At 39.0% G+C, this 25,207-nt stretch overlaps 1 long non-coding RNA gene across 1 annotated transcript in view, besides 3 other annotated features; it reads right to left on the bottom strand.

Moving 5' to 3' along the window:
• JPX (JPX transcript, XIST activator) overlaps positions 1-25,207 on the bottom strand; it is a 126,061-nt gene that overhangs the window by 88,171 nt on the left and 12,683 nt on the right. The gene's annotated exons all lie outside the window — the stretch shown is intronic.
• Positions 4,065-4,624: an enhancer, noted in NCBI's record as "NANOG-H3K27ac hESC enhancer chrX:73197425-73197984 (GRCh37/hg19 assembly coordinates)". NCBI's record gives its function as "activates a minimal SCP1, AML or CMV promoter by ChIP-STARR-seq in naive and primed H9 embryonic stem cells {active_cell/tissue: H9 hESC(naive and primed)}" and the evidence as "EXISTENCE:reporter gene assay evidence [ECO:0000049][PMID:30033119]".
• Positions 15,159-15,722: an enhancer, noted in NCBI's record as "NANOG-H3K27ac hESC enhancer chrX:73186327-73186890 (GRCh37/hg19 assembly coordinates)". NCBI's record gives its function as "activates a minimal SCP1, AML or CMV promoter by ChIP-STARR-seq in primed H9 embryonic stem cells {active_cell/tissue: H9 hESC(primed)}" and the evidence as "EXISTENCE:reporter gene assay evidence [ECO:0000049][PMID:30033119]".
• Positions 16,289-16,853: an enhancer, noted in NCBI's record as "OCT4-NANOG-H3K27ac-H3K4me1 hESC enhancer chrX:73185196-73185760 (GRCh37/hg19 assembly coordinates)". NCBI's record gives its function as "activates a minimal SCP1, AML or CMV promoter by ChIP-STARR-seq in primed H9 embryonic stem cells {active_cell/tissue: H9 hESC(primed)}" and the evidence as "EXISTENCE:reporter gene assay evidence [ECO:0000049][PMID:30033119]".

The following is a 25,207-nucleotide window of genomic DNA, read 5'->3' as shown; positions in this document are numbered from 1 at the left end:
TAGATATATAAATGGATGAAAATATATGAAAATCCTTGTTCATGGATTTGACAATGCAATATATAATTATGAAGGCACGTCTCATCATGTTGATCTATAAATTCAATACAATCCCTATCAAAATCCCAGAAGGCTTTTTTTGTAGAAAATTGCAAGCTCATTTTAAATGCAAAGAATGTGGATCACCTGAAATAATTTTGAAAAACAACAAAGTAGGAGATCTGTCACTACCCAACTTTAAAACTTACTTTAAAACTAATCAACAGAGTATAAAACTTATGAAAAATGAGACACAGAAAATAACTGATGTAATGGACTTCACGAAAATTAAAAATTTTAGCACTTCAAATGACACCATTAAGAAAATAAAAAGACAAGCTACAGACTGAGAAAAAATATGTAAATCATATTTCTGATAAAACACTTGAGTACAAAATACATATAAAGAACTCTTACAATGCAATAAGAAAATAACTTTAAATGGAGAAAAGATTTAAATAGATATTTCATCAAAGACATACAAATGACCAATAAGCAAATGAAAAGATGCTCAATCTCATACAGTTTAAGAAAATGCAAAACAAAATCATAATGAGATACTACTTCACACCAATTAGAATGGCTATAATCAGGTAATAACAAGTGATGATGTGGAGAAATGTTAACTCATACATTGCTGGTGAAAATGTAAAATAGTATATCCACATTGGAAATCAGTTTGGTAGTTTCTTTAAAAGCTGAATAAATATTTGCTGTACAACCCAGCTATTCTATTCCAAAGAATCTACAGAATAGAAAAGAAAATATACTAGGACATTTACATTAATGTTCACAGCAATGTTTATTCATCATAATAGCCCCCCCCCACCACCAAAAAAAGGAAACAATCCAACTTTCAGTCAAGTGCTGCATGGAGAAACAAAATGTGACATTAGTAAAACTGAACAACATTCAGCTCTAAAAAGGAATGAAATACTTATTAATGCTACCACATGACTAAATCTCAGAAACATTTTAATAAATGAAGGAGGTCAGATTCAACGGAATAAATATCGTACGATTTCATTTACATGAAATGTCTAGAAAGGGTAAACTTACAGACAGAGGATATCACGGTAGCCTGGGATGGGAGCAGAAGTGACTTGAGGAAACTTTTGGAAATAATGAAATGTTCTAAACTGGATTATGATGACAACTTCAAGCCATAAGTTTACTAAAACTAGGTGAATTGTATACTTACAATAGATAATTTTATGGTATGATATTATACCTTAATAACACTTAAAGAACCAAATTGAGTTTTTTTAATGAAAACATACAACATTCACAATAAAAAATATCCACTGAAGATCTCAATAACAGAATGCAGCCAGGAACATGAAACAGAATTTGAAGACAGATCAACAGAAATTACCCAATCTGAAAAATAGAATTAAAAAATAGATTGAGCCAGGCGCGGTGGCTCAAGCCTGTAATCCCAGCACTTTGGGAGGCTGAGGCGGGCGGATCACGAGGTCAGGAGATCAAGACCATCCTGGCTAACATGGTGAAACCCCGTCTCTACTAAAAATACAAAAAAATTAGCTGGGCATGGTGGCAGGTGCCTGTACTCCCAGCTACTTGGGAGGCTGAGGCAGGAGAATGGCGTGAACCCGAGAGGCGGAGCTTGCAGTAAGCTGAGATCATGCCACTGCACTCCAGCCTGGGCGACAGAGCAAGACTCCGTCTCAAAAAAAATAATAAAATAAATAAATAAATAAAAAATAGATTGAAACAGAACAAACAGCACCTCAGGACCTATGGAACAATATCACAATATCTAATATACATGTCATCATAGTCTCAGAATGAGAAAAAAAAATCATGCAGAAAAAAAGTTTGTAGAAATAACAGCCAAAAACTTCCCAATCTGATAAAAGATAAATCTACATATTAAACAACTTCAGCAAAACCAAACAATATAAACTGAAAAGACACACCCAGAAATACTATAAACTGTTGAAAATCAAAGACAAAGGAAAAAATTTGAAAGCAGCTATTAAAAAAACAGCACATTACATCTGAGGAAGCAATGATTCAAACGACGGCAAATTTTTTATCAGAAACGATGAAGGACAGTAGTAGAAAAATAACTTTAAAGAGCAACAAGAAAAAAATCCCATCAATTAACAATTCTATATCCAGTGATTGAAAATGTCTTTCAGGAATGAAGGTGAAATGAACACATTCCTAGATGAAGGGAAATTAAGACAATTCACCTCAAGCAGAGTGCTGATTAAATGATAAAGGGAGTTCTTTAGTCTGAAGGGAAATGATACCCAGGGAAAGCTTAGATCTTTAAAAATGAGAGAACAAAGAACTGGTTTAAAAAAAAAAAAAAGAAGTGGTAAATTACTGAGTAAATATAAAAGACTATTTTTCTCCTCTTAAGTTCTTTAAAATATGTATGACTCCTGAAAGCAGAAACACAATGCAAATGTAAAACACATGGCAACTACTTAAAGAATCAGTGAGGGAGTATAAAGAGCTTTATATGGATGTAAGGCTTCTATGTTTTACCTGAAGTGGTAAAACACTGAATCTACATAAACTGTTAGATATGTATTTATGAGACAATTCGAATGTATAAAAGATAATTAAGACCGGGCACGGTGGCTCATGCCTATAATCCCAGCACTTTGGGAGGCCGAGGCAGGCAGATTACCTGAGGTCAGGAGTTCGAGACTACCCTGGCCAACATAGCAAAACCCTGCCTCTACTGAAAATACAAAAATTAGCTGGGCGTGATGGCATGCACCTGTAGTTAGTCTCAGCTACTCATGAGCCTGAGGCAGAAGAAGTGCTTGAACCCAGGAGGCGGGGGTTGCAGTGAGCTGAGATTGTGCCATTTGCACTCCAGCCTGAGCAACAGAGCGAGACTCTGTCTCAAAATAAATAAATAAATAAAGATAATTAAAATGGAATATTAAAGCCTGGGCGCGGTGGCTCACGCCTGTAATCCCAGCACTTTGGGAGGCCAAGGCAGGTGGATCACCTGAGGTCAGGAGTTCAAAACAAGCCTGACCAACATGGTGAAACCCCGTCTCTACTGAACATAAAAATAATGAGCCAGGCATAGTGGCGGGCACCTGTAACCCCAGCTACTTGGGAGTCTGAGGCAGGAGAATCGCTTGAACCCGGGAGGCGGAGGTTGCAGTGAGCTGGGATCACACCACTGCATTCCAGCCTGGGCGACAAGAGCGAAACTCCATCTCAAAAAAAAATAAATAAATAAAATAAAATACTAAAAAATGTTCAAATGATACAGAAGAAAAAATAAGAAACAGAAATAAACAAAAATAACAAAGACAACAAATCTCAAATATATAGGGCACTAGAAACAACATCACTACCTCACTTAGAAAAGGCTTGACAAAAGCAAAGTTATGATTTTCTTGACCCTATCAGAGAACTGAAGTTACAGGAAAAAAAAAAATACAGAAATCTAAAAAAATGGTAGGTGCCTGCAGGGGAAAACAGAATCTGAGCATTTGATTACTGGGACAAATGCCATGAAAATCAATATAAAAGCAGGTAGAAAGATTTAACTAGAAATTACAATAAATTGCTAAAGGCCAAGTGTGGGCTGGCCTGAGAATAGGAATCCCCTCAGGTTTCAAATATGGGGGTGGGGTTGCAGCCACCTGCAGCTGTTATCAATAGGAAGCCACAGGAAAGATCAGAGATCACAGAGAAAGACCCCTTTGGTACTATCTGGGGGAAAGGAGTAGCAGCTATGGCTGAAAATCTGCCCCAATCTACCTTTCTTAAAAAAAAAAAAAGTTTCGCTCTTGTTGCCCAGGCTGGAGTGCAATGGCGCGATCTCGGCTCACCGCAACCTCCACCTCCCGGGTTCAAGTGACTCTCCTGCCTCAGCCTTCTGAGTAGCTGGGATTACAGGCATGCACCACCACACCCAGCTAATTTTGTATTTTAAGTAGAGACAGGGTTTCTCCATGTTGGTCAGGCTGGTCTCAAACTCCTGACCTCAGGTGATCCGCCCGCCTCGGCCTCCCAAAGTGATGGGATTACAGGCGTGAACCACCACGCCCCACCAAAAAAAGTTCTTCATTTACAGAAAAGATCATGAAGCAGTGGAAGGGAATATAAAGCAGACCAAAATTCCCCAGAGGCCCGTCTCCTATCTCGCCTAAGAAGCAAAAACCTTAGAGCAATTTGCAGGGACACCCTGGAGTGGAAGCAACAGGGGCTGGGTAAGGAGGTAAGGAACACATAAAGCTTTAGCCATAGGGGAGGAATGGGAATAAATACTAGGCATTGACTGGAAAAGAAAGACTTATGACAGCCACACCCACAAGACCCAGATTCACAGTGCCTACTTAAGACTGAGTTTAAATTAGAACATTAGAGAACATGCCTCTTTTTCGCCCCAACCACAGACTAAACATCAAATAAAATTAAAGTAATGCACAGGGGAAAGCTGAAAACCACAGGCCTTCTCTAGAGAAGAGTGAAAAGGTGAAAACCCACGCCAAACAAGGACACAAAAACAAGGTATCATTATAGGGTTTGAAGTTTCTGATACACAGAGAGTAACCATGGTAACAACAAAACTTCAATCCCAGACCAACTCCTGACTAATTTCACAAAAACCTCCACGCTAATAGCCTAGATGAAGGAAAGGTGTGCTTATCGCAAAGAAAATACATATATATACCTCAGTATCTACTACTTTATATGTTTGACTCTCAACATTATAATGTATACAAAAACAAAGAAAAAAATACCATCTGAAAAGAATGCAATCTTGAAAACCAGACTTAAATATGAGATGCCAAAACTAACAGAAAATGAAAAGTAACTGTAATACCTTGTGTCCTTCTTACTCCCATTTGTTAGTTCTAGGTTTCTGGAGATGCTCTAAAAACGTCTATGTAGACAATCTTATAATCTACAAATAAAGATTTATTTTTTCCCTTCCAGTCTATATTTCCTTTTCTTGTATTAGGAGTGGTGAGAGAGGACATCTTTGCATTGTTCCCGATCTGAGCAGTATGTCCAGTCTCTCACCATTAATAAGTGGAGTCTGTAAGACTAAATGCAAAAGAAGCTATACATAAGCATTATACTCCAGTTGATAGAGTTGTTTCCAGTAAGGGTAAAAATCAACAATTCTGAAACAGTTATACCTGTATAATGGGATAGTACAATTATGTAAATGAATGGTAAATGTTAGGAGACAGGCTCTTTCCTATTGGAGTGAGAGAGTGAGGACAGACAAACAAGGAGATATGACTAGAATTAACCATGTGGTAATGGATTAGTTAGAAATACCAGTATGAACTCACATTTAACTTAAAAAAATCGATAGTTACATATAAAAATGTGTATAAATATGTAGCTATACATGGGTTAGTATACATATCTATCTATACTTCCTCTGAGAAGAGTTGGCTGTAGAATACAAACCTATAGGCTGGGTGCGGTGGCTCACACCTGTAATCCCAGCACTTTGGAAGGCTGAGGTGGGTGGATCACCTGAGGTCAGCAGTTCAAGACCAGCCTGGCCAACGTGATGAAATCCCATCTCTACTAAAAATACAAAAAAATTAGCCAGGCGTGGTGGTGGGCGCCTGTAATACTTAGCTACTCAGAAGGCAGGAGAATTGCTTGAACCCAGAAGACAGAGGTTGCAGTGAGCCAATATCCACCACTGCACTCCAGCCTGGGCAACAAGAGCAAAAACTCCATCTAAAAAAAAAAAAAAAAACAAAAAACCTATATAATAAATTGTTCTGTTTTCATACTAGCAATGAATGATCCAAAAATGAAATTAAGAAATCAATTCCATACAAAATAGCACCAAAAAGACTAAATCTTTAGGAATAATTCAACAAAACACCTGCAAGATTTGTATAAAGAAAGCTACACAATGTTGTTGAAGAAAATTTTAAAAGACCAAAATAAATGGGGAGATATTTCATGTTTAAGATGCGTTATTGGCTGGGCGCAGTGGCTCACGTCTGTAATCCCAGCACTTTGGGAGGCCGAGGCGGGTGGATCATGAGGTCAGGAGTTCAAGACCAGCCTGGCCAACATGGTAAAACCCTGTCTCCACTAAAAGTACAAAAAAATGAGCTGGGTGCAGTGATGGGCACCAGTAATCCCAGCTACTCGGGAGGCTGAAGCAGGAGAATTGCTTGAACCCGGGAGGTGGGATTTGCAGTGAGTCAAGATCGTGCCACTGTACTCCAGCCTGGGTAACAGAGCAAGAATCCATCTCAGAAGAAAAAAAAAAAAAAAAAAGATGCGTTATTATAGCTAAGATGGTAATTCTCCCAAAACTAATCTATATAGATTCATTACATTCCCTATCAAAATAACAGCAGGCTTTTTTCAGAAATTAACAAGTTTATTCTAAAATTCACATAAAAATGCAAAAGACCCTGAACAGACAAAAGTACAGATTTGGACAACTTCTATTGCCAGATTTAAAAATTATGCAAAAGATTTAAATACACATTTCACCAAAGAAGAATGGCTAATAAGAACATGAAATATTTCCTACTCCATTAGTCATTAAGGAAATGCAATAAAACCACAATGAGATAATTTTACTTTCACAAAAATGGTTTTAATAAAAGACAGTAATAAATGTAGACAAATATGTAGAAAATCACTAACCCTCATATATTGCTGATAGGAATGTAATGTAGTACAGTCACTTTGGAAAAGAGTTTGCCAGATTCTTAAAAAGTCAAATTACCATATTATCCAAAAAATCCTACATAAGAGAAATGAAAGCACGTCCGCTTAAATATTTCCACATGAATGTCAACAGACGCATAATTGATAATTGCCAAAACACAGAAACTACTTAAATTCCCATCAAGTGTTTAATGGAGAAAGAAAATGAGACATATTGACACAATTGAATATTATTTACAAATAAACTAAATGAAAGGCTGATACATATAATAATATAGACAAACCTCAAAATAATTAACCCATGTAAAAGAACTGAGACATAAAATACTATATGTTATATGATTCTAATTGTATGGAAGGTCCAGAAAGGGCAAATCAACATAGATGAAAGTAGATTAGTATTTGCCTGGGGGTGAGGATGGGAACAAAGGTTAACTGTAAAGTGGTATGAAAAATGTTACTGGGGTGGTAAAAACATTACAAAACTGGAATAATGGTGTTAGTTGCAGAACTCACTAAATTTACTAAAAATAATTTAATTGTACCCTTAAAATGAGTAAATTATATAAGTTTTGCCCAAATAAAGTTTTTTTTTAAATTGTAATGGTCTAAACACCACCAGTAAAAGGATGAACACTGTCACATGGAATAAAACACAAGCCAACCCACCTATCTATTTAGCCTACTTACCTACCTAAAAACCCAACCACCCACCTACTTACTGTGAAATACATACATACACAAACTATAAAGGCATACAATGATTAAAAGTACAAGGGTGGAGAAAGATACAGCATAAAACACTAACCAAAGAAATAGGTTGAAAATATTTATTAATATGAAACAAAATAGACATCAGAACAGGAAAGATTATCAAAGGATAAAGAGAAACCTCATGAAAAGACAGTTATTTCCCCAAGAACACATAATAATCTTATAGGTATACGCACCTAATCAAAGGTTTTCAAAATGAATAAGACAATAAATGAGGTATGAAAAAACAAGTAGGCATATCTAAAATTAGTTTGAGATTTGAACACTGCTAAGAAATTAATAAAACAAGTAAAAAATCACAAATGATATGGAAGGCCTGAACATTACTATCAAACAACTTCATATAATGATAGAACACTTTAAGCAACAACAGAATACATATTCTTCTCAATTATATGTAGCATTCACAAAGACAGATCATGTTTTGGCTTATTAAATAAACCTCAATTAATTATTTAAACATAGAAAAAAATACAAGGTGCATCCTGAGATCATACAAATTAGAAATGAAAAAAAAAAATCTGGAAAATTCCCTCAAACAATTGGATATGAAACAAGAAACTTTCAAATAACACATAGGTAACAAACAAAGTCTCATGAGAAATTAAAACATGGATTGAACTAAAGAACAATATAAATACAATATATCAAAACATATAGGATGCAGACAAAGCAGTGTTAACAGGGAAGTTTATAGCATTCAATATATACATTAAAAAATAATATCTAAAGTCAGTAACCAAAGTTTGTCTCAAAGGAACCAGAGAAAGAAGAGCAAAGTAAATATAAAGCAAGATGAAGAAAGGGAATAATAAACATTGAGAGCAGGAATCCAAAACAAAAAACGAAAAAACAGAAACATACAAAAGAAAGAAATCAATAAAACCAAAAGCTGAGGCTGGGCACGGTGGCTCATGCCTGTAATCCCAGCACTTTGGGAGGCCAAGGCAGGTGGATCACCTGAGGTCAGGAGTTCGAGACCAGCCTGGCCAACATGGCGAAACCCCATCTCTACTAAAAATACAAAAATTAGCCGGGTGTGGTGGCGGGCGCCTGTAATCCCAGCTACTCCGGAGGCTGAGGCAGAAGAATCGCTTGAACCCAGGAGGTGGAGGTTGCAGTGAGCCGAGATCATGCCATTGCACTCCAGCCTGGGCGACAAGAGCAAGACTCTGTCTCAAAAAAAAAAAAAAAAAAAGCTGATTATTTGACAACACTGACAAAACTGAACAACCTCTAGCCAGGCTCACAGAAATAGAGAAGATATAAATCATCAGTACCATAAAATGATGCCAAAGACATTAAGAGGATAATGAAGGAATACAATTCTATGCCTATGAATTTGCTAAGTTACATGAAATGGAATGATTATGTGAAAGACACAGACTACCAAAATTTGCCAAGAAAACCTGAATAGCTCTATTTCTAGTAAATAAGTTAAATTGAAAGTTATAAACCTCCTAAAGATAAAAACTGTAGGCCTACATGGTTTCAATGGTGGATTCTACCAAACAATCAAGGAAGAAACAATATCAATTCTACACAATTAGTTCATTAAATAGAAGGGGAGAAAACATATTCCAATTACGAGGCTAGCATTACCCTGATCACAAAAGCAGAGAAAAACATTACAACAAATGAGAATTACAAATAAACCCAGACATTTACGTTAAAGTGGCTTTTGACAAAGGTACCAAGAACGTACAATGGAGAAAGGACAGCCTCTTCAGTAAATGGTGTTGGGAAAGTTGTATATCCACATATAGAAGAATCAAATCAGACCTTTGTCTCATACCATATACAGAAAAGAACTCAAAATGAATTAAAGACATTAGACCAGAAACTGTAAAACTACTAGAATAAAACATAGGGAAAATGCTCCACAACATTGGTCTGTGCAAAGATTTCATAAATATGACCTCCAAAAGCACAGACAACTAAAACAAAAATTTTAATTTAAAATGGGATTGCATCAAACTAAAAAGTTAACTACACAGCAAAGGAAACAATTGAGTAAAGCAACAACCCACAAACTGGGATAAAATATTTGCAAATCACATATGAAATAATGAGCTAATATTCAAAATATATGGAACTCCAACAATTCAATAGCAAGAAAACCAAGAACCCAATTTAAAAATGGGCAAGGGACCTAAACATACATTTCTCAAAAGAAAACATACAAATGGTCAATGGACATATGAAAAACTGTTCATTATCACTTGCAAATTAAAACCACAATGAAGTATCACCTCATACCTGTTAGCATGGCTATTACCAAAAACAAAAAAGATGTTAAGTGTTGGTGAGGTTGTGTACAAAAGGGAATCCTTGTGCAGTTGGTGAAGAATGTCAATTAATATAGCCATTATGGAAAACAGTACAGGTTCCTCAAAAAACTAAAAATAAATTTACAGATAATTCAACAATCTCCCTTTTGGGTACATATCCAAAGGAATTGAAATCAGTATGTCAAAGAGATATCTGCACTCTTGTGTTCATTACATCATTATTTGCAATAGCTAAGATATAGGAGCAACTTACATGTCCATCATCAGATAAATGAATAAAGAAAATATGATATACGTACATAACAGAATACTATTCAGCCTTAAAAAAGAAGGAAATCCTGTTATTTGTGACAACATGGATAAACCTGGAGGACATCATGTGAGTGAAAAAAGCCAGGCACCAAAAGACAAATACCACAAGATCTCACTTATATGTAGAATCTAAGAAAGTCAAACTCATAGACATAGAGTAGAATAGTGGTTACCAGTGACTGGAAAAGTGAGGTGGACGGGGAAAGGGGAGATGTTGATCTACTGCACACAATGGTGAGTATAATAAATAATAATGTACTGCATTTTTCATAATTGCTAATAGATTAGATTTTAATTGTTTTCACCATTAAAAAACTGGTAAGTATGTGAGGTAATGGATTTAATTAGGCTGATTCAATCATTCCATGATATAAACATATATCAAAATATCACACTGTGCCCCAAATATATAATATACACAGTGTTTAAAAAAAATTTAAATAGGAAACTACAAGTCAATCTAATGGGCATAAATAGAAACTTGTCAACAAAATATTTACAAATCAAATCCAGCAATATAAAAAAATGATAGGCCAGGCATGGTGGCTCATGCCTGTAATCCCAGCACTTTGGGAGGCCAAGGCGGGTGGATCACGAGGTCAGGAGATCGAGACCATCCTGGCTGACACGGTGAAACCCCATCTCACTAAAAATACAAAAAATAATTAGCCGGGCATGGTGGCGGGCACCTGTAGTCCCAGCTACTCGGGAGGCTGAGGCAGGAGAATGGCGTGAACCCAGGAGGCGGAGCTTGCAGTGAGCGAGATAGTGCCACTGCACTCCAGCCTGGGTGACAGAGCAAGATTCCGTCTCAAAAAAAAAAAAAATAATAATACATCACAATCAGCTGGGTTTCATACAAGGAATGCAAAGTTGGTTCAACATTTAAAAACAATCAATAAATAAAATTCAGTATCAATAATTTAATGAAGACCGCACAATCATGTCAATACAGGAAAACGCATTTGGCAAATTCAACATATTTTCAAAATAAAAACTCCCAGAAAACTAAAAATAGAATGGAGGTGCTTAACCTAATAAAGGGCATCTATGAAAGACCTACAGGTAACATGCAGAGTGGAAAACTACTAGTAAAGTATGCCCTCCCACCCTGCCCTATTCAACATTGTATTAGAAGGCCTATAAAGCCAGAAAAACAATTATAGGGCACATACATTGCAAAGGAAGAAATAAAAAAAGACTCTTACTTGCAGAAAACAATTGTGTGTCTGGAAAATATCAAATAATCTATATTTAAAAAAACCTTTTAGGCTGGGCACGGTGGTTCACGCCTGTAATCCAGCACTTTGGGAGGCGGGGGGGGGGGGGGGGGGGCAGATCACAAGGTCAGGAGTTCAAGACCAGCCTGGCCAACATAGTGAGATTCCGTCTCTACTAAAAATACAAAAAAATAGCTGGGCGTGGTGGCGGGTGCCTGTACTCCCAGCTACTTGGGAGGCTGAGGCCGGAGAATCGCTTGAACTTGGGAGGCGGAGGATGCAGTGAGCAGAGATCGTGCCACTGCACTCCAGCCTGGGCAACAGCGCGAGACTCCATCTCAAAAAACAAAAACAAAAAAAAACAAAAAACCTTTTAGAACAAAAATGGTGAGTTGAACAAGGTTGCAGAACACAAGGCCAATAAACAAAAATCAATCATGTTCACATAACAGCAGCTATAAATAACTGGAATTTGAAATGAAAAAAATACAAACAACACAATTTTAATCACAGCACCCCCAAAATGAAGTTCTTACATCATTTGTTAAATCTAACAAAATATGTCAGGATTTATAGGCTGAAAACTACAAAACATTGATGAAATAAATGAAAAAAGATCTGGATAAATAGGAAATACTAGGTTCATGAATCAGGAGACTCAGTGAGGTACAAATGCTCTCCAATTTCATCTAATAGATTCAATAACATACCAACCAAAATTTCAGCAACGTCTTCTTGTAGCTATTGCCAAATTTATTCAAAAATTTAAGTTAAAAAGCAAAGAAATTAGCGAAAACAATCATGAAAAATAAAAAAGGTTGAAAGTTCATACTACCTCATTTATAGACTTAAAATAAATACTTAGTAATACCATGTGGTATTGGAGAAACAATAAATACAAATATCAATGGAAAAGAATAAGCAGTCCGGAAAAATACCATGCAAATCTAGTTATTTTCAACACAAATGCAAAAACCATACAATATAGGAAAGATAAGCTCTTTTTGAGACCAAGTCTCGCTCTGTCGCCCAGGCTGGAGTGCAGTGGCACCATCTCGACTTACTTCAACCTCCGCTTCCCGAGTTCAAGCGATTCTCCTGCCTCAGACTCCCGAGTAGCTGGGACTACAGGCGCCTGCCACCACACTTGGCTGATTTTTGTATTTTTAGTAGAGACGGGGTTTCACCATATTGGCCAAGCTGGTCTCGAACTCCTGACTTCGTGATCCGCCGGCCTCGGCCTCCCAAAGTGCTGGGATTGCAGGCGTGAGCTACTGTGCATGGCCTGCAATCTCTTTAACAAAAGGTGCTGAAACAACTAGAGGACCACATACCAAAAAAAGTGACAACATATTACCTCGCTCATTCAAATATTAATTAAAATGGATCATGGACCTAAAGGTAAAAAGATAAACTATATGACATCTACAAGGAATAATGTGAAAACACTTGAGCATTTTTAGAAACTGTAATAAAGGTACAATATTAATGCTAACTGATAAAATTTTTACAGGAACTTAGGCAGTTATAAAACCACTTTAAATGTATAGTAAAGTAGAACAAACAAGTAAATATAGATAACAGGACTCAGTTTTCTTACTATTAGAGAAAGAAGTTTTGTTGTTGTTGTTGTTGTTTTGAGACTAAGTCTTGCTCTGTCACCCAGGCTGGAGTGCAATGGTGCGATCTCTGCTCACTGCAACCTCCGCCTCCTGGGTACAAGCGATTCTCCTGCCTCAGCCTCTCAAGTAGCTGGGATTACAGGTGCGCACCACTATGCCTGGCTAATTTTTTGTATTTTTAGTAGAGACGAGGTTTCACCACGTTGGCCAGGCTGGTCTCGATCTCCTGACCTCATGATCTGCCCACCTCGGCCTCCCAAAGCGCTGGGATTACAGGTGTGAGCCACAGCACCCAGACTGTTTTGTTTTTTTTTTTTTTTTGGAGACAGAGTCTTGCTCAGTTGCCCAGGCTGGAGTGCAGTGGTGCAATCTTGGCTCACTGCAACTTCCACCTCCTGTGTTCAAGTGATTTTCTTGCGTCGTGGCGCATGCCTGTAATCCCAGCTACTCGGGACACTGAAGCAGGAGAATCGCTTGAACCCAGGAGGCAGAGGTTGCAGTGAGCCGAGATTGCACCACTGCACTCCAGCCTGGGCGACGGAGCAAGATTCTGTCTCAAAAAAAAAAAAAAAACAAAAAAAATTAGCTGGGTGTGGTGATGGGCACCTGTAATCCCAGCTACTTGGGAGGCTGAGGCAGAAGAGTCACTTGAACCCGGGAGGCAGAGGTTGCAGTGAGCCGAGATCATGCCACTGCACTCCAGCCTGGGCAACAGAGCAAGACTCGGTCTCAAAAAATAAATATATAAATAAAATAAGCAAGTATGAGAGCTAATCTCAAATAAGAGTCAGATATCACTGTACATTCATGTTTACTTTAATGGACACATAGCTACATACATGTGTATGTAAAAATAATTAAATAGATCCAAACATTACTATGCATACATATATTTTCTAGCTTTCTGTTTAGGAGGTACAGAATCAGTGCTACCTCAGTAACTAAAAGGGCACTCAGTGCTCAGACCATGGTTTCTAAATGTATTTTTCAATAAAAAGTACCCGGGCTCCTTATTAAAATGGCTAAAAGTAAGGCTGGTGCAGGGAGAATACAAGATAAGCCTATACTACCTTGTACCAGAAAGTAAGCAATAGCTCCAAAAAAAAGATGTGGGATTATGTATAATTAACAAATTAATAATTATTCACGAATCCAGAATGATAGAAACAGATGACCAAATAAATAAGGGAGAGAAAAAAAATCTTCCTTAGAGAAAATTTCCCAAAAATAAATACATATATACAGGTAGATACCCCTCCAGATATGGAGGTTAATTCTGCTTCCCTTAAATGTGGACTAAATTTAGTAACTCACTTCCAAAGCATAGAGGATGGAAACAGAAAAACAGTAACTTTACAGTGGAGAAACCGGGCAACCTGAACTAAGTGATTAAGAGTAACATCCTCAGTAATAAGTAATGCTAAAATCGTGTATATATATATATATATATGTATGTATACATATATGTGTGTATATATGTATACATGTGTATATGCATACATATAGGTATACGTGCGTATATGCACACATATATGTATACGTGCGTATATGCACGCATATATGTATACGTGCGTATATGCACGCATATATGTATACGTGCGTATATGCACGCATATATGTATACGCGTGTATATGCATGCATTTATGTCTACGTGTGTATATGCATGCATTTATGTCTACGTGTGTGTATACATGTCTACGTGTGTATGTGTATACATGTCTACGTGTGTATACATGTCTACGTGTGTATGTGTATACATGTCTACGTGTGTATATGTATACATGTCTACGTGTGTATATGTATATATGTATATATGTGCGTATATGTATACATGTATGTATATGTGTGTATATGTGTGTGTGTATGTATACATATATATCCTGATATGAAGCTATGAGAATGGTATATCTGTGTGGTATTCTTCCCCAAAATTCATATCATTTAATCATGAGACTATATCAGACAAATCCAAATTGAGAAATATTCTACCAAATACCTAACCAGTACACTTTTTAAATCTGTCAAGGTCATGAGAAACAGGGAAAGACTAAGAAACCATGGGGACTATGATACTTTGGATTGCATTATGAAAAAACCATTCCAAACCAAATCATTTTTTTAAATTAGAGATATAAATCCAACAATATGAAGAAAATCACAGTAAATATAATGGGGCTTCACAGTAAGTGAAAGACAGTACCAGACTAGACTAGAAAACATCATCTGGTTCTGGTAGGTAGAGAGCTAGAGAGAGCATCACTTTCACCCTTACAAATAAAGAGGGTAGGAGAATAGGAAAGAAGTTCACAACTTTCCTTGAATCCCCCAGAGACAGGAGTCTTACTGGGGCCAACCAAAATCTAAGTTGTGGTGCCCCAAAGGAATGATGAGACACACCCCCGGCTTACCTGTGAAAGTAGATGCAACCAGACATCAGTAAGAGATCAACTAAAATGGTTGGTCAATTGGCAAAGGGTAAGTGTTAACTGGCAAGTAAGTATGAAGCCCAGGGTGGGGCAGCACAGAATTGAGAGGTCTGCAGACTATTCAGGTATTTTCTCCACTAACCCATTCAAGAGATCACACAAAAGATTGATGACAGTCTTGAGAAACTACCCTCAAGGTACACACCTGGGAGAGGGGAACAAAATCTGTTTTGGGAAGGTCAAAGAAATCTGTTCAGATCCTACTCCATCTACAAAACAAAGTCCTTACTCAGTGGGAGGAAGGGCAACAAACACTGTGGCCATTAGGATAGTTGTAAAAACTGTGACCCTGGGAGAATGAAATAGAGAGAAAAAAAAAATTAGCTATGAAGAAAGAGCAGAAATACACAATGGGTCCAAAATTACAGCAGGAGGAAGAGGCAGGAGTACTGAGTATAACACAACCACGAGACCCCAGGACACTGGTGCCTAAAACTAAGCCTTAATTAATAAAACAACAGATAGGGCACACTCCTGCCAACCAGTGACCAGGCTAAAAATGTCATATAGCAACACCAAGAGGACCACTACTGAGAAAGAAACAATAATGTGGAAACATTCTCTGAGACATAGCACAAAGGGAAGACTTAACCTTAGGGTGACATTTAGGAAAACCAGAGGCCATCTTCCCCTGCCAAACACCTTGCTTGCGTCACAGGGAAAACTGAGACAGTTTCCTTGCCCTCAGCTCCAGAGCAGCAATGCAGAGGTTTTGCCCGAGGGGAAAGGCAGGCTGCAATAACAGAGTTCTGAAGGTATCCCCAAAATAAATGACTTAATTTGGAACACAATGGGGAGAAAAAAAAGCCTAAGGATGTTCCCAATAACAATAGAGATTTGGGTGGTAAGCTATTAAGAGAAGATTAGTAACTACTTGAGAGCAACAAGCTATAGAAACACCAGCTAGAAGACAGCCAGAGACCCAGAGAAAAAGACAAATAAGAGCCTACCTGGGATCTGAGCCAACCTCAAAGGTTGGTCTCAAATACTATCTCTATAAAAGGGCCCAAATTTGGATCACATAGTTAGGCAATTTATGCCCCTGGACATGGTCAAAACCAATAGAGTAATCAGTCTGAAATTAGTGCAAACTAATGATTAGGTGAGATAACAGAGGCTGACAGATTAACAGAGAAATTAGAAAAAGACACTGAAAGACAGCCCTGCTAAAACCAATCATTCCATAGTGACTATGCTTATTCCCAAAGCTGTCCCACTAAAGAGGGACACCAAAGGATGTACACTGTAGGTTAAAAAACACATCACAGCCAGGCGCGGTGGCTCACACCTGTAATCCTAGCACTTTGGGAGACTGAGGCGGGTGGATCACCTGAGGTCAAGAGTTCGAGTCCAACCTGGCCAACACGGTGAAACCTCCTCTCTACTAAAAATACAGAAATTAGCCAGGCATGGTGGCGGGCACCTCTAATCCCAGCTACTCTGGAGGATGAGGCAGGAGAATCGCTTGAACCCAGGAGGCGGAGGTTGCTGTGAGCCGAGATCGTGCCATTGCACTCCAGCCTGGGCAACAGAGCAAAAACTCCGTCTCAAAAAAAAAAAAAAAAAAAACCAAAAAACAACAACAACAAAAAAAACACTATAAGTTCTGGCAAATAACTAAACAAAGAAGTAAACAATACCAATGAGCCCCACAGTAGAGGAGGGGGTAGCAGTATCCAGAAATCACTGCAATATATTATCTAAAATTTGTAGGTTTCAGCAAAAAGTATGAGGTATTTTTTAAAAAAAGTGAGATTCATATAAGAAACCAAAAAGCAAGTAACAGAAAAATGCCTTGAGAAGGTGATATAGAGTTTACATTTGAGGCCCAAGACTGTTATACTTAAAAAGGCCTGCCTTCAAGGATGGCCCTTAGCTGGCATCTGAGAACCTGGATTTCAAGAGAGTTGCCACTATTCCCTGATAAGAATGGCTCACTGTGGCTAAACTGTATAAACAATGGGGTTTGTGCTGAACACCTGCTTTCCTTCCGCAAGCCTGGAATTTTGCTATGTGCTAGGCAAAGGGTGCCTGCATGACCAGCCCCCAATAAAAGCTATGGTCACTGAGCCTCTAATGAGCTTCCCTAGTAGACAACACTTCATATGTGTTCTCAGAATGCATTCCTGGAGAAATGAGGTATGTCCTGTGTGACCATACTTGGAAGAGAACACTTGGAGGCTTGCACCTGGCTCTAACAAACTTTAGCCCCAGACATCTTTTCCCTTCGCTGATTTTGCTTTGTATCCTTTCACAGGAATAACTCATATCCATGAGTACAATTATACGCCAGTCCTGTGGGTCCTTGCAAATCACTGAAACTACCCTTGTGCTGGGGCTCGCCAACGCAAAAGCACAGATCTCAAACACAGCAGACAAAGACATCAAGGAAGCTAATACAAACATGTTCAGAGAACTAAAGAAAACCACACTTAAAGAAGTAATGTGCCAGGCGCAATGGCTCACGCCTGTAATCTCAGCACTTTGGGAGGCCGAGGTGGGTGGAACACCTGAGGTCAGGAGTTCAAGACCAGCCTGGCCAACATGGTGAAACCCTGACTCTACTAAAAATACACACAAAAAAGAAAAAATATTAGCCAGGCCTAGTGGCAGGTGCCTGTAATTCCAGCTACTCAAGAGGCTGAGACAGGAGAATCGCTTGAACTGGGGAGGTGGAGGTTGTGGTGAGCCGAGATCGCACCACTGCACTCCAGCCTGGATGACAGAGCAAGGCTCCATCTCAATCAAACAAAAAAAACCCCAAGACCCTAGCAGGCAGAGACACAAGCAGCTGGACGTTGAAAGGAACACAGCAGCAGCAGAAGACACAAGCGGCTGGACGTCAAGAGGACGTCAAGGGGAGGATGCCAGTGGAAGAGCACACCAACAGATGCTGGCAGGCCATCAAATGACCGGTTGAATGACGTGGAGTTTGGCCTGGGCAGTCGGAGGAGAGCCTGGGCAACCAAGCAGCCTAACGCCAGGGGAAAACCCTATCTCTTCTGGCAACCCTATCTGTTGGAGCTACTTCCACTCAATAAAACCTTGCACTCAAGCCCACGTGTGATCCAATTCTTCCAGTACAACAAGGCAAGAACCCCAGGATACAGAAAGTTCTCTGTCCTTGCCATAAGGCAGGGGGTTTAATTGTGCTGACTAACACAAGCTACCTATGGACGGCTAAACTAAAAGAGCACCCTGTAACAAATGCCCACTGGGGCTTCAGCTGTAAACATTCACTCCTAGAGGGCCGGGTGCAGTGGCTCCTGCCTGTAATCCCAGCACTTTGGGAGGCTGGGGCAGGTGGATCACGAGGTCAGGAGTTCAAGGCCAGCCTGACCAACATGGTGAAATCCTGTCTCTACTAAAAATACAAAAATTAGCCAGGCATGGTGGCACACGCCTGTAATCCCAGCTATTTGGGAGGCTGAGCAGGAGAATCGCCTGAACCTGGGAGGCGGGGGTTGCAATGATCCGAGATCGCACCACTACACTCCAGCCTGGGCAACAGAGTGAGTCTCCATCTCAAAAAACAAAAACAAAATTCAACCCTAGACACTGCCGTGGGGTCAGAGCCCCGCAGCCTGCCTGACTGCATGCTCCACCTAGAGTTTTGAGCCAGCAGGCACTGAAGAAGCAATCCACACCCTCATCGCGTGCCCTGCGAGGGGAACAAGGGAACTTTTCCTGTCTCACTTCCAGCAGGGGAAGAACATACAACCATTTTGAAATACATAACAGCATTCTGTTCATATCAAGGCCTCCACTCAAGACAAACTACTTAATTAGAGCCTAACTGACCTGGAGAAAGGGAAATACCCATTACCTGCCCCTCTAGCCTTTCTCTTGGGGTAAAGGAACTACCCAACTCAGCCCCCTCTAGCCATCATATCCCATATAAGTGGAGGATAGAGAAGACTGAGAAGCAGTTGCAAAGTTCGCAGCCCAGGAGCACAGGCTAAGAATTAATCGTAGGTATACAGAACATTTCCACTTACCATACATCTTACCACCACATCACTAAAGGCCTGTGTACCGAAGTTCCTTTTACTCAATACATCATGTCTGGCTTTCAAAAAAAAAAAAAAAATTACAAGGCATTTTAAAAAGTAAAAAACATTGCTTGAAGAGAAATAGCAAGCATCAGTACCAGACAGATATGTCATGGGTGTTGAAATTATCACACTGGAAATTTAAAATAACTCCGATTTGATTAACATACTAAGGGCTCTAAGGAAAAAAGTAGACAATATGCAAAAATACATGTGTAATGTAAGCAGAGATGCAGAAAGAATCAAAAACAAATGCTAAAGATCTAAAACACTACAACAGCAATGAAGAATGACTTTGATAGACTCTGTACACTGGACACAGCTGAGGAAAAGAATCTCTGAACTTGAGGATATGTCAATAAAAACTCTCAAAACTAAAAATCAAAGAGAAATGACTAAAAAAAAAAAAAGAACAACAACAACAACCGGCCAGGCGCGGTGGCTCACGCCTGTAATCCCACCACTTTGGGAGGTTGTGGCAGGTGGATCACGAGGTCAGGAGTTCAAGACCAGCCTGGCCAAGATGGTAAAACCTCGTCTCTACTAAAAATACACAAATTAGCTGGGTGTGGTGGCAGGCGCCTGTAATCCCAGCTACTCAGGAGGCTGAGGCAGAGAATCGCTTGAACCTGGGAGGCAGAGGTTGCAGTGAACTGAGATCGTGCCACTGTACTCCAGCCTGGGCAACAGAGTGAGACCCCATCTCAAAAAAAAAAAAAAAAAGAACAGAATATTGAAGAACCGTGCAACCATAAAAGGTGTAACATGCATGTAACTGGAATAACAGAGGAGAAAAAATGGAAAAGTAGTATTTGAAGCAATAATGATGGAGAATTTTCCCCAAATTAATGTCAGACACCAAACTACAAATTCAGGAAGCTAAGAGAACACCAAACAATATAAATGCCAAAACAAACAAACAAAACTACACCTAGGCATATCCTACTCAGCCTGCAGAAAATCAAAGATACAGGAAAAAATCTTCAAAGAAACCGCCCAGTGGAGAAAAAAACACCTTACCATAGAGGAGTAAAGATAATTATATCTGACATCTCAGAAAACATGCAAGCAAGAAGACTGAAATACTTAAGAGTTTTTAGAGAGAGAGGAAAAAAAAAAACCTAGAATTCTGTACCTGCAAAATCATCCTTCAAAACTAAAGGAGAAATACTCTTTCTCAGACAAAAACAAATTGAAGGAATTTGTTGTAAGTAGATCTAGCTTGTCAGAAACGTTTTTCAAAAAAAGTTCTTCAGGGAAAAGGAAAACTATACAGCTCAGAAACTCAGATCTACATAAAGAAAGGAAGAAGAATTTCTTCTTGATCAGAAAAGGAATAAGTAAAGCTATTATAAAAACTTTTATTATTTTATTCTTAATTAATCAGTTAAGTTTGTTCAAAGTAAGAATACTAACAATATATTCAATGATTATAGTTTATGTACATATGAAATGAATGATAGCAAAGACACAAGGGAGAAAAAAGAGGAATTAGAACTATTTTGTTATTAAAAAGTACTTGCACTATCAATGAAGTAATGCAGTGTTACTTCAAAATGGACTTGTAAATATATATTGCAAGCTCTAGGGCAACCACTAAAAAAGGTAAAATAGACCAAATAGACCAATACCTTGAAAGAAACAAGGTGCCAAAACTCACAGAGAAGGAGAAAATAATATACACTATGAACAAGTGGGGTTTATATCAGGTATACAAGACTGGTTCAACATTTGAAAATCTACTAATGCAATCCATAATATCAGCAGGCTAAAGAAGAAAAACCACATGATCATTTAAATGGATGGAGAAAAAGCATTTCACAAAACCCAACTCCCATTCATAGTAAAAACAACTCAGCAAACTTGGAATAGAGGGGAACTTCCTCAACTTTATAAAGAACTTAACAACTAACAACATACTTAAAGGTAAGAAACTGGCTGGGCGCAGTAGCTCACGCCTGTAATCCCAGCACTTTGGGACACAGAGGCAGGCGGATCACCTGAGGTCAGGAGTTCGAGACAAGTCTGGCCAACATAGTGAAACCCTGTCTCTATTAAAAATTTAAAAATGAGCTGGGTGTGGTGGCAGGCACCTGTAATCCCAGCTACTAGGGAGGCTGAGGCAAGAGAATCGCTTGAACCCGGGAGGCAGAGGTTGCAGTGAGCCAAGATCGTGCCATTGCACTCCAGCCTGGATAACAAGAGTGAGACTCCATCTCAAAAAAAAGAAAAAAAAAAAAGGTAAGAAACTGAACACCTTTCCATTAAGATCAAGAACAAGGCAAGCATGTCTCCTCTCACCGCTCCTTTCCAATATTGTACTGGAAGTCCTACCTAATGAAATAAGACAAAAAAAAAGGAAATAAAAGGTACACACACTGGGAGGGAAGAACTCACACTGTCTTTGTTCACAGATAACATGATCATCTATGTAGACATTCCAAAACAATCAACCAAAAAAAACCAAGGTTCATATTCAGTAGCAAGGCCGGGCGCGGTGGCTCATGCCTGTAATCCCAGCACTTTGGGAGGCCTAGGCGGGGGGATCACCTGAGGTCAGGAATTCGAGACCAGCCTGACCAACATGGAGAAACCCTGTCTCTACTAAAAATACAAAATTAGCCAGGCGTGGTGGCACATGCCTGTAATCCCAGCTACTAGGGAGGCTGAGGCAGGAGAATCACTTGAACCTGGGAGGCGGAGGTTGTGGGGCGCCGAGATCGCGCCATTGCACTCCAGCCTGGGCAATAAGAGTGAAACTCCGTCTCAAAATATATATACACACACACACACACACACATACAGTAGCGAATTGCTTCCCAATATACCAGCAATGAACAGGTGGAATTAAAAACAAAATAGCATATACACTAGCAGCCCCAAAAATGAAATATTTAGGTATAAATCTACCAAAATACATACAAGATCTATATGAAAAAAAAAAACTACAAAAGTCTAATGAAAGAAAAAAAAATTACACAAATGGAGAGATATTCTATGTTTGTGGATACAAAGACAATACTGTCAAGATGTCACTTCTTCCCAACTTCATCTACAGATTTCATGCAATTCCAAACTCCCAGCATATTTGTGGATATCAGCAAACTGATTGTGAATTTTATATGGAGAGCCAAAAGACTCAAAATATCCATCACAATATTGAAGGGGAAATAATAAAGTCACTGCGCCAGGCACAGTGGCTCACGCCTGTAATCCCAGCACTTTGGGAGGCCAAGACGGGCAGATCACTTGAGGTCAGGAGTTCGAGGCCAGCCCGGCCAACATGGTAAAAGCCCGTCTCTACTAAAAATACAAAAATTAGTTGGGTGTGGTGGTGTGTGCCTGTAATCCCAGCTACTTGGGAGGCTGAGGCAGGAGAATCGCCTGAATCCAGGAGGCAGAAGTTGCGGTGAGCCAGGATTGTGCCACTGCACTTCAGCCTGGGCAACAGAGCGAGACTCAGTCTCAAAAAAAAAAAAAAAAAAAGAATAGTCACTGCTTGACTTCAAGACTTAATAAAAAGCTATGGTAATCCAGACAGTGTGAAATTGGTGAAGGAATGGATAAATGGATCAATGGAACAGAATAAAGAGCCCAGATAGAGACATAAATATAGTCAACTAATCGTTGAGAAAGAAGCAAAGGCAATACAATGGAGCAACAAATAGTGTTGGAATAGCTGAATATCCAAATGCCAAAAAATGAATCTAATACAAACTTTACACCCTTCACAAATATTAATTCAAAATGGATGCCAGACCTAAATGTAAAATGCAAAACTGTAAATAGAACTCCAACATTTGAGAAAATCTAGACATCACTGGGTATGGCAATTACTTTCTAGATACAATACCAAAAGCATAATCCATAAAAGAAATCATTGACAAGCTAAATGTTATTAAAATTAAAAAAAAATTACTCCACAAAAGACACCATTAAAATATGAAACGATAAGTCAAAAAAAATCTGCAAAACACATAACTGATAAAGGACTGTTACCTAAAACATACAGACAGCACTTAAAACTCAATAAATAGCCCAATTTTTAAAATGGACAAAAGATGTCAACAGAAATCTCGCCAGAGAACATATACAGATGGTAAATAAGAACATGAAAACATGCTCAACTTTGTATGTCATTAGGGAGTTGCAAATTAAACAGTCCCATTGCACACCTATTAGAATGGTGAAAATCCAAAACACTGGTAACACCAAATGCTGTTGAGATTGTGGAGCAACAGGAACTCTCATTCATGGCTGGTGGGAATGCATCAACAGTACAGCAATTTTGGAAGACAGTTTCGTGGTTTCTCACAAAACTAAATATACTCTTACCATATGAACCGGCAGTCATACTCCTTGGTTTTTTGTTTTGTGTTTTTTTTCTTTTTGAGATGGAGTCTCACCCTGTCACCCAGGCTGGAGTGCAGTGGCGTGATCTCGGCTCACTGCAACCTCCACCTCCCGGGTTCAAGCAATTCTCCTGCCTCAGCCTCCCGAGTAGCTGGGATTATAGGTGCCTGCCACCACGCCTGGCTAATTGTTTGTATTTTTAGTAGAGCCAGGGTTTCACCATGTTGGCCAGGCTGGTCTCAAACTCCTGACCTCAGGTGATTCACCTGCCTCAGCCTCCCAAAGTGCTGGGATTACAGGCGTGAGCCACCATGCCCAGCCATGCATGATTTTTAACATCCTAAATGGATCATTTACAAAATACTGTTTCACTGAGCAATGCAGATGTTTCAAATGTTGACATATTTCATTAAGCAATATTTAAAAACCACTTTCTTTAAAATCTGATGTTAACAGAAAAGTCTTTAAGTACTGGGAAGCTATCAAGTTCACAGAAGTAGATACAAGTATACAGAAATTCTAAATTTTGTTTGAAAGCTAATTTAAAATAGGCAACAAGTACTATCAGTTGTTTTCCTTGAAAGGATAAGCCCATTTTATTTAGAAAAACATATCTGGTCAATACCCAAGTGTAAAAAACTGTAGCTTGTCTATTAGTTATTCTTCTAAGTATAATGTTGTAAATTTTAAAAAGTGAGCAGTACAGCTTGCTGACAATGTTACAGGTGATTTTCCTCAAGATAATTTAAAATTCAGTTTGCAGAACTGCTTCACGCATACTTCCCTTTTCATCACACCATATTAAGAAGACACGTACTCAAGGGTCCATATTTAATGAAACTAGTAACTTTACTGCTCATCAAAGACATTTTTTGAGAGAGTCTTACTCTGTCACCTAGGCTGGAGTGCAGTGGCACGACCACAGGTCACTCTTAGCCTCGAACTCCTGGGCTCAAGGAATCCTCCCGCCTCAGACTCCCACCTCAGCCTACGAAGCAGCGAAGACTACAGGCATAAGCCACGGTGCCCCACCCTCATCAAAGACATTCTTAAAAGAAACTGACTTTTTTTAAAAAAAACTACAGGTGTGGGGTGAAGAATACAATGACTACTGATACAATTTGGTGCCACTACCTTGATTTGTATTCAGGTAAAATGTTTATTTTCCACTGCTTCAACACCATCAGTAAAGATGTCAATACGGTAAAAACAACTTAGTATTAAGAAAAACAGCTTTCACTTTACAGATCCCTTGAAAGGTCCACATATTGAGAACTGTTGGCCGGGGGTGGTGGTTTACGCTTGTCCCAGCACTTTGGGAGGCCAAGGCGGGTGGATCACGAGGTCAGGAGTTCAAGACCAGCCTCGCCAACAGTGAAACCTCATCT

The sequence above is a fragment of the Homo sapiens genome, chromosome X (genome assembly GCF_000001405.40).
Source record: "Homo sapiens chromosome X, GRCh38.p14 Primary Assembly".
Lineage (NCBI taxonomy): Eukaryota > Metazoa > Chordata > Mammalia > Primates > Hominidae > Homo > Homo sapiens.
Note: the sequence above shows the minus strand (reverse complement) of the source record. Positions and strands in the feature narration are given on the sequence as shown.